Raw genomic sequence first — 18,260 nt, 5'->3', positions numbered from 1 at the left:
AACAATAAGTGAGCCAGGCACGGTGGCTCACACCTGTAATCCCAGCACTTTTTTTTTTTTTTCTCCCTGAGACGGAGTCTTGCTCTGACACCCAGAGCTGGAGTGCAATGGCGTGATCTCAGTTCACTGCAACCTCCGCCTCATGGGTTCAAGCAATTCTCCTGTCTCAGCCTCCCCAGTAGCTGGGATTACAGATGGGCACCACCACACCCGGCTAATTTTTGTATTTTTGTAGAGACGGGGTTTCACCATGTTGCCTAGGCTGGTCTCAAACTCCTGACCTCGTGATCCACCTGAGTCGGCCTCTCAAAGTTCTGGGATTACAGGTGTGAGCCATCACGCCCAGCCAATCCCAGCACTTTGAGAGGCCCAGGTGAGGGGATCACTTGAGGCCACCTGTTTGGGACCAGCATGGGCAACATAGCGAAATCCTGTCTCTACAAAAGATTTTAAAATTAGCCAGATGTGGCTGGGCATGGTGGCTCATGCCTGTAATCCCAGCACTTTGGGAGGCTGAGGCGGGCAGATCATCTGAGGCCAGGAGTTCGAGACCAGTCTGGCCAACATGGAAAAACCCGTCTCTACCAAAAATACAAAAATTAGCCAGGTGTAGTGGTGCATGCCTGTAATCCCAGCTACTCAGGAGGCTGAGGCACAAGAATTGCTTGAACCCAGGAAGCACAGGTTGCAGTGAACTGAGATCACGCCATGGCACTCCAGTCTGGGCGATAGAGCGAGACTCTGTCTCAAAATAAAAATAAAAATAAAATAAAAATAAAAATAAATAAATAAATAAAATTAGCCAGGTGTGGTGGCATAAGCCTGTAGTCCCAGCTACTCAGGAGGCTGAAGTAGGAGGATCCCTTGAGCCCAGGAGCTCCAGGCTGGTCACTGCACTCCAGCCTGGGTGACAGGATAAGACTCTGTCTCAAAAACAACAATCAAACAAGCATTTTTGAGGATGTAGAGAAACCGGAAGCTTTGTGTGCTGTTAGTGGGATTGTAAAATGATGCAGCTATTATGGTTATGGGAAACAGAATGGAGGGTCCTCAAAAAATTAAAAACCACCATATGATCTAGCAATCCCACTTCCGGATATATAATCAAAAGAATTAAAAGCAGGGTCTCAAAGAGATTATTTGCACGCCCATGTTCACAGCAGCATTATTCACAATTGAAAGAGATAGAAGCAACCCAATGGCCATTAACGGATGAATGGATAAACCAAGTGTGATATATACATACAATAGAGTATTATTCAGCCTTAAAAAAGAAGGAAATCTTGTCACATGCTATAACATAGGTAAGCCTTGATGACATTATGCTAAGGGAAATAAGCCAGTCACAAACAATAAATATTGTATGATTCCACTTATATAAGGTATCTAAAGTAGTCAAATTCATAGAAATAGAAAGTAGAATGGTAGTTACCAGTGGCTGGGAGAAGGGGAACTGGGGAATTGCTGTTTAATGGGTGCAGGGTTTCCGTTTCACAAGATGAAAAAGTTCCGGAGGTCTGTTTCACAACAATGTCAATATACATAACACTACTGAACAGTACACTTACAAATGGTTAAGACAGTAAATCTTGTATGTTTTTTGTCACAATAAGAAAAAAAAAACTTTTAAAAATCACTCATTTCTCTTTTTTTTTTTTTTTTTTGACACAGAGTTTTGCTCTTGTCACCCAGGCTGGAGTGCAATGGCGCACTGGGCACATTGCAACCTCTGCCTCATGGGTTCAAGTGATTCTCTTGTCTCAACCTCCCAAGTAGCTGGGATTACAGGTGTGCACCACCAGGCTAAGCTAAATTTGTATTTTTAGTAGAGACAGAGCTTCACCATGCTGGCCAGGCTAGTCTCGAACTCCTGACCTCAGGTGATCCACCTGCCTCGGCCTCCCAAAGTGCTGGGATTACAGGCATGAGCCACTGTGCTTGGCCTAAATCAATCATTTGTGGGCCTCTGGGCTGTAGGACTCTGGGTCTCTTAAGAACATTGCCTTGTCCCTTGATCCTACTTAATAAGAAGTTTAAGTCTAACAGGTCAGTGTCTCTTCACAGACAGGAACACCAGAATCCCACCATTCTTATAAAAAGAAACAGGAACGCGGCCTCTGCAGCACCTCCCAAAAACTGTCATCACTCCTCAAAAATTCCTGACAGACCCTGATGTGGGAAGACTACGGCTCTCTTGCCTTTTACAGACTGGCTCATCCTCCAGAGGCTGAGGACTTTGTGGGTTGTGTTTTGTTTTGTTTTGTTCTGTCGCCCAGGCTGGAGTGCAGTGGCACAATCTCAGCTCACTACAACCTCTGCCTCCCAGGTTCAGGCGTTTCTCCTGCCTCAGCCTGAAGCTGGGACTACAGGTGTGCACCACCGCGTACAGCTAATTTTTTGTATTTTTGTAGAGATGGGGTTTCACCATGTTGTTCAGGCTGGTCTTGAACTCCTGACCTCAGGTGATCCACCTGTCTTGGCCTCCCAAAGTGCTGGGATTGCAGGCGTGAGCCACCACGCTCGGCGACTTTGTGGGGTTTTTAAGGAGGTGCCTACATGCTTGATATGCACGAGGTCCTGTGAGCTGGGTGAGGTCATTTGATTATCTAATCCCACAGATGGGCCACCTCACATCAACTCCCCCCCGCCACCCCCAGTAAGAACATCCACGCAACTGGTACTCCAAAGCTCACTGGCAAAACAACCATGGATCCACCAGGGGGCGCTGACACCACACTCAGCCATGCCCGGGGGCCCAGTCCCAGCCACCTACACAACCTAGGTTGACCTGCCTGCCTGTCTGCTCTCCATAGGTGGCAGATCTGGGTGGAAGGCTTAGGTCTCTGCCTAGGTAGATACCCCTTTGTTTATTTGTAAGTTATACTGACTCTCTCAGGGAAGAGCACATCAAACAATGCTAACAGATTTTAATTCATATTTCCTCTGCTCCATACAGGAGCAGGACCCTGGAAGAAAGGAATGGGCACATTTACTAGGAAAACCAAGTCTTGCCCAATTAGGAGGGTCACATACTGAAGTAATCACATAAATCGTGGGCCCTAAACTTCCAAAGGGCTTGAAAACAATCCTAAGGCCGGGTGCAGTGTCTCACACCTATAATCCCAGCACTTTGGGAGGCCAAGGCAGGTGGATTACCTGAGGTCAAGGGTTCAAGACCAGCCTGGCCAACATGGCAAAACCCCATCTCTACTAAATACAAAAATTAGCTGGACATGGAGGCGGGCACCTGTGATCCCAGCTACTCAGGAGGCTGAGTTGGGAGAATCACTTGAACCTGGGAAGCAGAGGTTGCAGTGAGCCAAGACTGTGCCACTGCACTCCAGCCTCGGAAGGCAGAGTGAGACACTGTCTTAAAAAAAAAAAAAGAAAAAAAAAGATTCCTGTCCTCTTCAAGCCCTGACCTTACCCATCACGCCAAATCCCCCAAATGAATCTTCAGGCCTCCTTCTAATGCCTTCCTTCCTCTTATACTACAAACATGCAAGTCATCTAGAAACAACTCCCTTCACCCTGCTTCCTCCACCTCAGGCTACCTGCCTGTACCTCCCTTAACTGAAGGGGTAGTTGGCAGCCCTATTTCTATTCCCTCATCTGCTATTCATTCCTCAAGCCATTAACTCCGTGAGTGTTCATGTCTATGTGCTAGAGCTGTCCTCCAGGGGTCTAATTTTCTTTTCCCTCCCTCCCTCCTTCCTTCCTTCCTCCCTTCCTTGCTTTTTTTCAAGAAACAGGGGGCCAGGCACGGTGGCTCACACCTGTAATCCCAGCACTTTGGAAGGCGGAGACGTGAGGATCATGAGGTCAGGAGATCGAGACCATCCTGGCTAACACAGTGAAACCCCGTCTCTACTAAAAATACAAAAAGAAATTAGCCAGGCGTGGTGGCGGACGCCTGTAGTCCCAGCTACTCGGGAGGCTGAGGCAGAAGAATGGTGTGAACCTGGGAGGCAGAGCTTGCAGTGAGCCAAGATCGCGCCACTGCACTCCAGCCTGGGCGACAGAGCGAGACTCTGTCTCAAGGAAAAAAAAAAATAGAAACAGGGTCTCGCTATGTTGCCAAGGCTGGTTTTGAATACCTGGGCTCAAGCGATCCTCCTGCCTAGCCCCCCACAGGCATGAGCCACTCTGCCCAGCCTAATTTTCAAGTCAAATACCTGCTTGGTCTTTTTGCAGCTGGATTTCTCTGCATTACCTGACATGGTTAACAAACCTGACTTTTGCCTTCCCTGACACTACACTCTTTTTAATTTGCCTATTTTTCTCATTCTTTTACCTCTTCTGTCATTAATTCCTATGCGCCAACACACATACCCAGTACATAAGGGTTTGTTTTCCGCCAATCTCCTCTTAAGTCTTCCATTCTCTCTATATAGTGGTTTTCTTTTTCTTTTGTACATTTTTTATATTTTTATTTTTTGGTAGAGACAGGGTCTCACTACGTTGCCCAGGCTGGTCTCGAACTCCTGGACTCAAGTAATCCTCATGCCTCAGCCTCCCAAAGTGCTGGGATTACAGGTGTGAGCCACCACACCAGGCTTATTTTTTTTAATATATAAATTTTTTTAAAAAAAGAGATAGAGTCTCACTATATTGCCCAGGCTGGTCTCAAACTCCTAGGCTCAAGTGATCCTCCTGCCTTGGCCTCCCAAAGTACTAGTATTACGGCATGAGCTACCACGCCCAGCCTCTTTTTATTTTTTATTTTTATCTTTTTTTTTTTTTTTGAGATGGAGTCTTGCTCTGTTGCCCAGGCTGGAGTGCAGTGGCGTGATCTTTGCTCACTGCAACCTCCACTTCCCAGGTTCAAGCAATTCTCCTGCCTCACCCTCCCGAGTAGCTGGGACTACAGGCACGTAACACTACGCCTGGCTAATTTTTCTATTTTTAGTAGAGACAAGGTTTCACCGTGTTGGCCAGACTGGTCTCGAACTCCTGACCTCAGGTGATCTGCCCGCCTTGGCCTCCCAAAGTGCTGGGATTACAGCCATGAGCCACTGTGCCAGGCCTCTTTTATTTTTTAAAATAGAGATGAGGTCCCACTATGTTGCCCAGACATGTCAGGCGACTTATCTATCCACCCGGCCCAGGGTATCCCAGAACGCTTCTGTGCTACCAGGCTCCTGGACCTTGGCAGGGTTCACAAGACTCATCAGTGTCACACATGTTTGTCTCCTCCAGCCTTTGGTGAACACCTATAAAGTCAATTCCCATTCTGTCCCCACTAACTCCTGACCACTCCCACACACAAATGAAGAGGAGTCTGTACTTGTGGAGAAGCCCACCCAGAAAATCAGAGCCCCTTACCTCACAGTAAACAATGTCCGCTCCATAATCCAGGGCCAGCAGCCTCATTGGAAGAGTCCCTACCCGAACCATTGGGGCCAGGATTAGCTTATTATGGTAACACAGAGAGAGGCTATTCAAAATCATTTCCTCCTCTGTTACAGCCTGAAAAAAAAAGAGGAAACAAGAGTCAGAAATTCAAATGAAGAAAATCTCTCCTGTTATCAAGAGCAGGCTTCCCTTCTTCAAGGTTCCAGCACACAGTAGTTTTCATTTTCTTTTGGTTGGTTGTTTATGTTTGATTGTTTTTGTTTTTGAGACAGTCTTGCTTTGTCACCCAGGCTGGAGTGCAGTGTAGTGCAGGGCTCACTGCAACCCAAGTAACTGGGATTATGGGCGTCTGCCACCACGACCGGCTAATTTTTGTATTTTTAGTAAAGATGGAGTTTTACAGCTAGGCACGATGGTTCACATCTGTAATCCCAACACTTTGGGAGGCCGAGGCAGGCGGATCACCTGAGGTCAGGAGTTTGAGACCAGCCTGGCCAACATGGTGAAACCCTATCTCTACTAAAAAATACAAAAATTAGCTGGGCATGGTGGCGGGCACCTGTAATCCCAGCTACTCAGGAGGCTGAGGCAGGAGAATTGTTTGAACCTGGGAGGCGGAGGTTGCAGTCAGACAACATGGCACCATTGTACCCCCGCCTGGGCAACAAGAGCAAGACTCCATCTCAAAAAAAAAAAAAAAAAAAGATGGAGTTTCACCACATTGGCCAGGCTGGTCTTGAACTCCAGACCTCAAGTGATCTGCCCACCTTAGCCTCTCAGAGTGCTGGGATTACAGGCATGAGCCACTGCACCTGGCCTGTTTTCCTTTTCCCTGAACATAAAAATTAGTATACATGCACATACATTCATCTAACGAATATTTATTAAGTACCTAGTCTGTGCCAGTCACTGACCCAGTCTCCTGGGATACATTAGAGAAAAAAAAAAAAAACAGACAAAAATCCCTGCTCTGGCAGTTTTCAATCATTTTTTTTTTACTCAGATACCTGCACTGGAGTATCTGAAGCAGAGTTTTCATTCTAGCCAGAGAGTATAGGCAAAAAAACAAAAAGCATAACAAATAAGTAAACTATATAGTATGTTGGAAAACTGGTAATGCTAGAGCAGAGAGAGGGGAGATTGAAAGTGCTGGGGATGGGTTGCAATTTGAAATAGAGAAGTCAACATGGGCTTTAATGAGAAGATAAGATTTGATCAATGAAGACCCCTGAGAAGAAAAAAAAAATGGAGCAAAGATTTGAGTTACTCAAGAAGAATGCACAGCAGAGGAAATAACCAATGCAAAGGTCCTGAGGCAAGAGATTGCCTACTGTGTTAGAGGAACAGCAGGAAAGCCAATGTGGTTAAAGCGTAGAATGTGGTCAGGCGCAGTGGCTCACACCTATAATCCCAATACTTTGGGAGGCCAAGGTGGGTGGATCACTTGAAGTCAGGAGTTCGAGACCAGCCTGGCCAACATGGCAAAACCCCATCTCTACTTAAAATATAAAAAATTAGGCTGGGCACTGTGGCTCGCGCTTGTAATCCTAGCACTTTGGGAGGCTGAGGCAGGTGGATCACAAGGTCAGGAGTTCCAGATCAGCCTGACTAACAAGGTGAAACCCTGTCTCTACTAAAAATACAAAAATTAGCCAGCTGGGCCGAGTGAGGTGGCTCACGCCTGTAATCCCAGCACTTTGGGAGGCAGAGGCAGGTGGATCACCTGAGGTCAGGAGTTCAAGACCAGCCTGGCCAAGATGGTGAAACCCCGTCTCTACTCAAAATACAAAAATTAGCTGGGCATGATGACAAGTGCCTGTAATCCTAGCTACTTGGGAGGCTGAGGCAAAGAATCTCTTGAACCCAGGAGGCGGAAGATTGCAGTGAGTCGAGCTCATGCCACCGCACTCCAGCCTGGGCGACAGAGCAAGACTCTGTCTCGAAAAAAAAAAAAAATTAGCCAGCTGTGCTGATGCATGCCTGTAGTCCCAGCTACTCTGGAGGCTGAGGCAAGAGAATTGCTTGAACCCAGGAGGTGGAGGTTGCAATAAGCCAAGATCGCGCCATTGCACTCTAGCCTGAGCAACAGAGGAAAACTCCATCTAAAAATAAAAATAAAAATAAAAATAATATATATATGTATATATATATATAACATATGTGTGTATATATATGTGTATGTATGTGTGTATATATATATATATATATATATATATATATATATATATATATATAAAATTAGCGGGATGTGGTGGTACACACCTGTAATCCTAGCTACTCGGGAAGCTGTGGCACGAGAATTGCTTGAACCTGCAAGGCACAGGTTGCAGTGAGCTGAGATTGCGCCCCTGCACTCCAGCCTGGGTAACAGAGGGTAAATGTCTCAAAAAAAAAAAACCAAAAAAAAAAACCACATAGAATGAAGAAGAGAGACCAGGCACGGTGGCTCATGCCTATAATCCCAGCACTTTGGGAGGCCAAGGCAGGAGGATTGCTTGAGGCCAGGAGTTTGCAGACCAGCCTGGGCAACATAAACTCAGTCTCTACCAAAAAAAAAAAATTTTATTTAATTACCCAGGCATGGTGGCATATGCCTATGGTCAGAGTAATTTGGAAGGCTGAGGCAGAATGATGACATGAGCCCAGGAGTTTCAGGTTACAGTGAGATATGATAATACCGCTAAACTCCAGTCTAGGCAACAGAGCAAGGAAAAAGAAAAAAAAAAAAGGAAAACACAGAGTCAGATACACAATGTTAACAGCAGTAAGAAAACAGGATACAATGGTCAGATCATGTAGAGCCTTGTAGGATACGCTGAGAATTTCATTAGCTCTGCATGAACTGTCTCATATTTTTACATGATCATTATGACTGCTGCACTAAGAGTGGACTATCCGGGGGCACAGATGCAGGAAGACCAGAGAGAAGGCGATTCTGTAATCAACATGAAAGATGATGGTGGCTCCCTCAGACCCTGGAGCTGGTAGTGAAGGTGTTGAGAAGTGGTCACATTCTAGAAATACTCTGAAGGGAGAGCCAACAGGAGGAAAAAAGAAAATCAGAATCTCACGTCCCAAAGAAAACTACTGCTAATATTATGTTTTTGTTTTTTTTTTAAACAGAGTCTTGCTCTGTTGCCCAGGCTAGAGTGGTGCAGTGGTGCAATCTTGGCTCACTGCAACCTCTGCCTCCCGGGTTCAAGCAATTCTTCTGCCTCAGCCTCCCGAGTAGAGTAGCTGGCACTACAGGCATGCGCCACCATGCCCAGCTAATTTTTGTATTTTTAGTAGAAATGGGGCTTTGCCATATTGGCCAGGCTGGTCTTGAACTCCTGACCTCGTGATCCGCCCACCTCGGCCTCCCAAAGTGCTGGGATTACAGGCATGAGCCACCATGCCCAGCCTAATATGATTTATTCTAACCAAATATGGTCTCCTCTAAACAGTCACAAAGAGGCCAGGCATGGTAGCTCATGCTATAATTCCAGTGCTTTGGGAGGATGAGACAGATGGATTGCTTGAGCTCAGGAGTTTGAGACAAGCCTGGACAACATGGCAAAACTCCATCTCTACCCAAAAATAATAAAAAAATAAATAAAATTAGCTGGGGGTGGTGGCACATGCCTATAGTCCCGGTTACTTGGGAGGCTGAGGTGGGCGGATTGCTTGAGGCCATGAGTTCAACACCAGCCTGACCAACATAGCAAAATCCCATCTTTACAAAAAATAAAAATAATAAAAAGACAGGCAATGGCTCACGCCAGTTATCTTAGCACTAAGGAGGCCATGGTGGGGAGATCGCTTGAGTTGGAGATGGGAGATCAGCTTGGAGTTGGAGATTAGCCTGGGTAACATGGCAAGACCTCATCTCTACAGAAACATAAAAATTAGCCAGGAGTGGTAGTGCATGCCTGTAGTACCAGCTCCTAGGGAGGCTGAGGTGAGATCACTAGAGCCTGGGAGGCAGAGGTTGCCGAGCTGAGCTGATATCATACCACTGCACTCCAGCCTGGGTGACAGTGAGACCCTGTTTGAAAATAAAAATAAAACTAGGCCAGGCAAGGTGCCTCACGCCTATAATCCCAACACTTTGGGAGGCCAAGGTGGACAGATTGCTTGAACTCAGGAGTTCAAGATCAGCCTGGGCAACATGGTGAAACCCCATCTCTACAAAAAATGCAAAAATTGGGCTGGGCACGGTGGTTCATGTCTGTAATCCTAGTGCTTTGGGAGGACGAGGTGGGTGGATCACTCGAGGTCAGGAGTTCAAGACTAGCCTGGCCAATATGGTGAAACCCCATCTCTACTAAAAATACAAAAATTAGCCAGACGTGGTGGCATGCGCCTGTAATCCCAGCTACTCAGGAGGCTGAGGCAAGAGAATCACTTGAACCCAGGAGATGAAGTGAGCTGACATTGTGCCACTGCACTCCAGCCTGGGTGACACAGCAAGACTCTATATAAAAAAAAAAAAAAAAAAAAAAATTAGCACCTGTAGTCTCAGCTACTTGGGAGGATGAAGTTGGAGGATCACTTGGGCCTGGGAGGTTGAGGCTGCAGTGAGCCATGATCATGCCACTGCACTCCAACCTGGGTGACAGAGCAAGACCCTGTCTCAAAAAAAATTTTTTTTTAATTTTTAAATAAAAATAATTTTAAAAAGAAATAATCTCTGATCCAAGGTCTAAAGGAAGAGAACATGTTAACCAGTCCAATATGTAGAAAGAAAATCTTTCCCATTTCATTAATAGCATCTCCAGTCTCCCAATTACTCATTCTTAACCCACATTCCCCACATTCAATCCATCACTGACTTCTATTGAAATAACCTTCAAAATATAACTAACCCACATGCTTTACTACATGCCAATGGCCACAACTGCGCACCAGAAACCCTCCGCTCATCTGTTGCCAGGACTTTAGCACAGCCCCCAAATGTGTCTCCCAAAATCTACACTTGCCCCTTCCTATCCATTCTGCCAGCATGGGATCCTAAAAAGGCAACTCTGATAATACCACTCCCCCGTTTATACCTTTCAATGGCTTCCCACTGACTTTAGGAAAAATCCTAAACCTTTCTAATGGCCCACAAGGCCCTGCATGATCAGTCCCTACCCACCTCTCCAGCCTCACCCTCACCTGTGTCTCTCTCACCCTCCCTCTCGGCCCTGGCCACCCTGGCATTCCCTTTTTTTTTTTTTTTTTTTTTTTGAGATGGAGTCTCACTCTGTTGCCCAGGCTGGAGTGCAGTGGCGCAATCTTAGCTCACTGCAACCTCCACCTCCCAGGTTCAGCCTCCTGCCTCAGCCTCCCGAGTAGCTGGGATTACAGGCACCCACCACCACACCCAGCTAACTCCTGACCTCAGGTGATCCACCCACTTTGGCCTTCCAAAGAGCTGGGATTACAGGTGTGAGCCACTGTGCCCGGCCACCCTGGCCTTCCTTTAAAGTCTCCCACACCAAACTGTCTGCTTCCCTGGGGCCTGCCCACTTGCAGTTCTGTCTGGAATACTCCTCCAACTCAGTCATGCATGCCCATGCTAAGGTCCCCTTGTCCTTGAATGCCCCCTTTGTGAAGATACGTCCCTACAGAAAATCAAATTCAGGTCCCTGGTCCCATGCTTTCCAAACACCCTACATTTCTCTGCAGCTCAGTTACACTCCATGTGTCCACACTGACTGCTGTAGTTTCTTGTTCAATCCTCAGCTCCTCCTGGAGACCACCAGGACAACAAGCTCTACAAGAACAGGAGTGTGGCTGCTTAGTTCACTGCCAGATTTCTAGCACTGAGCCAGGTACATGACCTTTAGAGGCTGCTTAGTAAGGTGTGACTGAATACTTACCACTGTGGTAGCCAAGAGGACAGCCTCTTGTAGGGTGGTTGGTCTGGCAACTTCCTCTGGCACTCAGTCAGAGGTGCCTGACACACCCTGCCTCTAAGGAGGCTCCTCTGAGAAAAACTAGGCAGCCCCCATGCCTTTCCCAGTTACTGCCACAACCACTCACCCCACCCTGAGATCACACCCACATCACCACTTTAGTCACTCATTTCCAATCTCTTCTACCATTCCTTTTAAGGGCTGGTCTCCTCTATTACGCTCAATTTCTTAGACAGTAACCTTGGCTGGGCGAGGTGGCTCATGCCTATAATCCCAGCACTTTGGGAGGCCAAGGCAGGAGGATCACCTGAGATCAGGAGTTCCAGACCAGCCTGGCCAACATGATGAAACCCTGTCTCTACTAAAAATAAAAAAATTAGCCAGGCATGGTGGTGTGCACCTGCAATCCCAGCTACTCGGGAGGCTGAAGCAGGAGAATCACTCAAACCAGGGAGGCAGAGGTTGCAGTTAGCCAAGATCGCACCACTGCCCTCCAGCCTGGGCAACAGAGTGAGATTCCATCTCAAAAAATAAAAAATAATAACCTTAACTTCAGTTACATGGACATAATATCCTGTTAACCTTAAAAAAAAAAGACATTAAAGAAAAATACCTCCAAACATGTTGAGTTTATTTGAGAATGAGAGAAAAGGATTATAATCCAGGATGCACAGAAGGGCAAGCCACAAGTACATCTGGTGACAGAAGGGGAAAAGGAAGCTTTTATTGGCAGAAAGGGAGAGATTTATATAAGTTGCTTAGAAACAGAGTTCATGGCCAGACACAGTGGCTCATGCCTGTAATCCTAGCACTTTGGGAGGCCAAGGCAGGCGGATCACGAGGTAAAGAGATCAAGACCATCCTGGCCAACATGGTGAAACCCCGTCTCTACTAAAAATACAAAAATTAGCTGGGTGTGGCGGCGCATGCCTGTAGTCGCAGCTACTCAGGAAGCTGAGGCAGGAGAATCGCTTGAACCCGGGAGGCAGAGGTTGCAGTGAGAGATCACGCCACTGCATTCCAGCCTGGTGACAGAGCGAGACTCATCTCCAAAAAAGAAAAAAAAGAGTTCATGAGTTTCCTAGAGGATCAAAGCCAGAGTTGTCTTCAGTTCACTGGTGGAGATGCCATTACTGGGCAAGTATTCTTTCCAGAGCATTTTATCTGAATTACAATAGTCCTAAAAAATGTCTATGCCAGGCAAGGTGGCTCACACCTGTAATCCCATCACTTTGGGAGGCCAAGGCAGGAGGATCACTCAAGGCCAGGAGTTTGGGACCAGCCTGGGCAACATAGCAAGATCCCATCTCTACCAAAAATATATATATATTTTTTAACTAGCCAGGAGTGATGGAAGGTGCCTGCAGTCCCAGCCACTCTGGGAGGCTTAAGCAGAAGAATCATTGGGAGTCCAAGAGTTCGATGCAGCAGTGAGCCATGATTGTGCAACTGTACTCCAGCCTGGGTGACAGAGCAAGGCCCTGTCTCCAAAAAAAAGAAAAAGAAAACCAAAATGTCTACTGATAAACTTTTGTCATAGAAATATATATACATATGCAAAACATGCAAGCCATGCAAAGCAGGTAATTCAAGAAAGACATGAAGGGATTTCTAGTGGGTTTTTATTTATTTATTTATTTATTTTTTGAGATGGAGTCTCACTCTGTCACCCAGGCTAGAGTACAGTGGCATGATCTTGGCTCACTGCAATCTCCACCTCCGAGGTTCGAGCAATTCTCCTGCCTCAGCCTCCTGATTAGCTGGGACAAAAATTAACCACCATGCCCGGCCAATTTTTGTGTTTTCAGTAGAGACGGGGTTTCACCATGTTGGCCAGACTCGTCTTGAACTCCTGACCTCAAGTGATCCACCCGCCTCAGCCTCCCAAAGTGCTGGGATTGCAGATGTGAGTCACCACTCCTGGCCTCCGGTGGGGTTTTTAGAAAATCCTTGGAAACAGTTCTTATCTCAGACATGTAAGCATGAGCTTCCTCTACTTCACACCTTCCTTGTCCTATTTTGACAAAAGCGGTTTCATCCTGGTATCTGCAACTTTCATAATCCCATTAATTATAGTGCTTTCAGATTGAACATAACACTATTCAGGAAAAATAATGAGTATAAACAAACTTTACCATTCCCTTCCCTGTCAATTTTCCCCAAAGACAAAGCTTGCTTAAAAAGCAATTTCTGGCCAGGCATGGTGGCTCACACCTGTAATCCCAGCACTTTGGGAGGCTGAGGCGGGAGGATCGTTTGAGGCCAGGAGTTCAAGACCAGCCCAGGCAACATAATAAGACACCACCTCTACAAAAAATTAGCGGGGCATGGTGGTACACACCTGTGGTCCTAGGTACTCCACCTGCCTCAGCCTCCCAAAGTGTTGGGATTACAGGCGTGAGCCACTGCATCCAGCTCTAAAATTCAAATTTGGAAAGTCAACTAGAATCAAGTATTTACAGAATTATCTTATTTCCTAATCTGAACATGTGGCTGGGTCCAGTGGCTCATGCCTATAATCCCAACACTTTGGGAGGCCAAGGTGGGCAGATTACCTGAGCTCAGTAGTTCAAGACCAGCCTGGGCAACATGGCAAACCCCATCTATACCAAAAAATACAAAAATTAGCCGGGTATGGTGGTGCAGGCCTGTTATCCCACCTACTTGGGGGGCTGAGGCAGGAGAATCACTTGAACTTGTGAGGTGGAGGCTGCAGTGAGCCAAGATCGTATCACTGCACTCCAGCCTGGAAATTGGAGCAAGACTCTGCCTCAAAAAAATAAAAAAAGTGTAAATACACCAGGTGTGGTAGCTCACACCTGTAATCCTAACACTGGGAGGTTGAGGCAAGAGGATCATTTGAGCCCAAGAGTTCAAGACCAGTCAGGGCAACATAGTAAGACCCCATCTCTATTAAAAATAAAAATTAAAAACAAAAATTAAAAACAGAAAACAAAATACATGCACATGACAAAAAGTAAAAATGATTTGTTAGATTTGAGGAGAAAGAGGTGATATAGCTTTTTTTTTTTAGAGATGGGACCTTGCTGTGTTGCCCAGGCTGGAGTGCAGCGGCACAATCATGGCTCACTGCAGTCCCAAACTCCTGGGCTCTAGTGATCCTCCCATCTCAGCATCCGGAGTAACTGGGACTACAGGCATGTTCCACCACATCTAGCTAATTTTGTGTTTAAATTTTTCTGTAGCGATACAGTCTTGCTATGTTGCTCAGGCTAGTCTCCAACTCCTGGCCTCTAGCGATCCTCCTGCCTAACCTTCTGAAGTGCTGGAATCAGGCGTGACCCACTGTGCCCAGCCCTGATACAGCATTTCATAGTTAAGATCCTGAGCTCTGGAATTGGACAGACCTTCACTTGAATCCCAGCTGTGCCTCGGGCACATTAATTAACCCAGCTGAGCCTCAGCTTCTCCTTGTGGAATATGAGGCTCCACTATGGGAGTCAAAGGAAATGCTGTGAAGAGTGAATTCCATGGTGTACCACAGTTCTCAGCACATAGTAAAGGCTTAATAAATGTTAGCCACTCTCATCATGCTTTCACGGTTTCAACACTCTATTTTTTGTTTGTTTGTTTGTTTTGAGACGGAGTCTCCTACTGTCTCCCAGGATGGAGTGCAGTGGCGTGATCTCAGCTCACTGCAACCTCCGCCTCCCGGGTTCAAGCAATTCTCTTGCCTCAGCCTCTCGAGTAGCTGGGATTACAGGTGCCCACCACCACGCCCAGCTAATTTTTTGTATTTTTTTTTAGTAGGGATGGGGTTTCACCATGTTGGCCAGACTGGTCTCAAACTCCTGACTTCGTGATTCACCCGCCTTGGCCTCCCAAAGTGCTGGGATTACAGGTGTGAGCCACCGCGCCTGGCCTCTAACGTCTATTATTATGTTGTTATATCGACAAACATCTGCTAGCTCTTTTAAGATCAAGGCAGCGTGTGAGGTATAAAGACACGGAAAGCACTAAGCTCTTAACCTCAAAGAGCTTCTCAGCTCTACAACTGCCATCATCTATCAACTGAACCATGACAACAGTCTCCAAACCAGTCTCTCTGCCTCCAGGCTTATCACTTCCAATCCATGCTCCTTCCAGCCAAAGGGCTCTTTCCAAACGCAAAGATATGATACGCAAAACATGATAGTTCCATTTCTGGACGCCTTCCCTACTGCCTGTAAAATTAAGTCTACACTCTTTAACACAGTAAATATAAGGTCTGGTCTCCACCTTCCATAGAAGCCTCTTTCATCACCTGCCTCCTGCCCTCAGAACTCCCCCATGCTAAGCTTCAGCTATTCTTAAATATTTCTAGTTCCCCAGCCTGGCCTGCTCTCTCTCAGTATGGGATCTCTGAACAAGCTGTCCCTGCCCAGGGGCCACGTCCCTATTCTTCCACCTGGCTGACTCCCTGTAGACTTTTAGAACCTCATCACCTCCTCCTGGAAGCCTTCTCTGACCAACATCTCCCAAAACAGGGTAAAGGCATCTCTGAGCTCATTCCTGTCCTGGCATGGAGCTATCCTGGCAACTATTAATAGAAGAGCAACTATCTGTCAATATGCCTTCTTCACTGTAAGGTGAAAATAGGCACTGTGGCTTGTTCATCACCAGATCCTCATCAGAGAGCATACAATCTGGCATATGGTAGATGCTTAGTGTTTGCTGTAAAAAGAAGTTAATGGCAGCCGGGTGAGGTGGCTCACGCCTGTAATCCCAGCACTTTGGGAGGCCAAGGCAGGCGGATTACCTAAAGTCGGGAGTTTGAGACCAGACCAGCCTGACCAACATGGAGAAACCACGTCTCTACTAAAAATACAAAATTAGCCGGGTGTGGTGGCGCATGCCTGTAATCCCAGCTACTTGGGAGGCTGAGGCAAGAGAATCACTTGAACCCGGGAGGCGGAGGTCACAGTAAGCTGAGATCATGCCACTGCACTCTAGCCTGGGCAACAAGAGCAAAACTCCATCTCCAAAAAAAAAAAAAAACAAGAAGTTAATGGACCAAGTGCAACAAGAGCTATGATCCACTCCATGCTTCAGTCACAGAAGAACTCTATCCCAGCCAAAGTGCATTTAAAGTGCTTTGTTATCACTCAAGTTTGGTTTTAGAGGAGACGAATGACTACTCCAATCTCTGGCTTACCCAGTAAAGGACTACAAGCCCTTTGGCCAACTTGCATGGAGCCATCACTTGAGTGAACAAGATTCACATAAGAAAGCAACAGAAGAGGTTGAGCCCAATTCTGGATACTGATTAGGAAATAATCTGCAGGCAACAAGGATTCATGAATGGCTTTTGAGTCAAAGGGTAACATGGCCATAGCTGTGCTTTTTTTTTTTTTTTTTTTTTCAGATAGACTCTTGCTCTATCACCCAGTCTGGAATGCAATGGCACAATCTCAGGTCACTGCAACCTCCGCCTCCCGGGTTCAAGCAATTCTTCCACTTCAGCCTCCCGAGTAGCTGGGATTACAGGTGCCTGCCACCATGCTCAGCTAATTTTTGTATTTTTGTAAAGAAAGGGTTTCACCACGTTTGCCAGACTGGTCTTGAACTCCTGACCTCGTGATCTGCCCGCCTTGGCCTCTCAAAGTGCTGGGATTACAGGCGTGAGCCACCACACCAGGCCTAGCTGTGCTTTAATAACATCACTCGGGAAACAGAAGGTAGACCAGAGGGTAAAAAACAAAGAGCAGGTAGGGAGCTGGATGAGAAGGAAGGTCAAAGGGTCCAGGAATACTATAGTGATAATGACTGAAAATATGATTACCTGCGCACAGCCCTGCTACAGGTGGGAAAATGGAGGAACAATAAAGTAATACCAATAGCACTTTTTATTGCTGTAATGCTTTGCAATTCCCAAAGTGCTTCATTTATAACTGTGATTCTCAAGCCTAGTTACATCTGGAGAGGTTTCTAAAAATACCAATTTCTCGGCTGGGCACAATGGCTCACATCTGTAATCCCAGCACTTCGGGAGGCCAAGGCAGGCAGATCAACTGAGGTCAGGAGTTCGAGATCAGCCTGGTCAAAATGGCAAAACCTCATCTCTACTAAAAATACAGAAATTAGCCGGGTTTGGTAGCACGTGCCTGTAATCCCACCTACTGGGGTGGCTGAGGCAGAAGAATCACTTGAACCTGGGAGGCAGAGGTTACAGTGAGTCGAGATGGCACCACTGAAGTCTAGCCTGGGTGACAGAGCAAGACCTTGTCTAGGCCTTAACCCAAATCAATTAAATCAGAATGTAAACTCCACAAGGGCAGGGATTTTGGCTGTTTTCCTCACTACCAATGCCTGGCACATGCGTGGTGCTCAGGAAGTATTTGTTGAATGAATGATTGAATGAATGAATGAATATACCATTATTAACTGAGATCCAAGGAACACACCAAGCTCCTGATCTCAGGAGCTTAGATTTTTTTTCACAATAAGGATACCTTTCCTATTTCTAAAGCACTACTTATAAAAATATCTCAGAAAACATTTAGAAGTTAATCAATGTCCTCTGTGAGTGAGGGGGAAAAAAGGTAGGCAGTGTCTAGTGATGTGACAAGAAGAAATTAGTGGCCACGGACACAGACAGGCTTAGGCAAGCTCTAACTCCTGTGAAATTTTGAGGTAATCATATTGTAAGGACTCAAGCATAATGAGAAAACAACTATATATTAACCAGCTACCCTACCCTGGATATTTGAACAAAACCCAAAAACCCAAATGCATATACATACCTATTATTTTGTTCTGATACTTCAGGATTACTTTGATATATGTGTTCTGGCTTTGTACAGAGTAATTCTTTGTTTGATATCTGAAAAACAGTGGCACATGGAAATGGATGAAACCTGTTGGGACAAACATCCAAGGGACCTTTTTTTTTTTTTTTTGAGACAGAGTCTCGCCCTGTCGCCCAGGCTGGAGTGCAATGGTGCGATCTCGGCTCACTGCAACAACCTCCGCCTCCCGGGTTCAAACGATTATCCTGCCTCAGCCTCCCGAGTAGCTGGGATT

At 46.3% G+C, this 18,260-nt stretch overlaps 1 protein-coding gene across 3 annotated transcripts in view; it reads right to left on the bottom strand.

Annotated features, from left to right (window-relative positions):
• Positions 1 to 18,260, bottom strand: part of DUS2 (dihydrouridine synthase 2) — a 56,037-nt gene that overhangs the window by 35,846 nt on the left and 1,931 nt on the right. For 2 of the 3 annotated variants that reach the window (NM_017803.5, NM_001271763.2), the window contains exons 2-3: positions 17,981 to 18,060; positions 5,326 to 5,469 (exon numbers count right to left, since the gene is read on the bottom strand). In NM_017803.5, coding sequence (NP_060273.1) covers positions 5,326 to 5,451 — 126 coding nt within the window. In that variant the 5' untranslated portion in view covers positions 5,452 to 5,469; positions 17,981 to 18,060. The remainder of the gene's footprint in view (positions 1 to 5,325; positions 5,470 to 17,980; positions 18,061 to 18,260) is intronic. The other variant, NM_001271762.2, reaches the window with a different exon arrangement.

The sequence above is a fragment of the Homo sapiens genome, chromosome 16 (assembly GCF_000001405.40).
Source record: "Homo sapiens chromosome 16, GRCh38.p14 Primary Assembly".
In the NCBI taxonomy this organism is placed as follows: Eukaryota; Metazoa; Chordata; class Mammalia; order Primates; family Hominidae; genus Homo; species Homo sapiens.
Note: the sequence above shows the minus strand (reverse complement) of the source record. Positions and strands in the feature narration are given on the sequence as shown.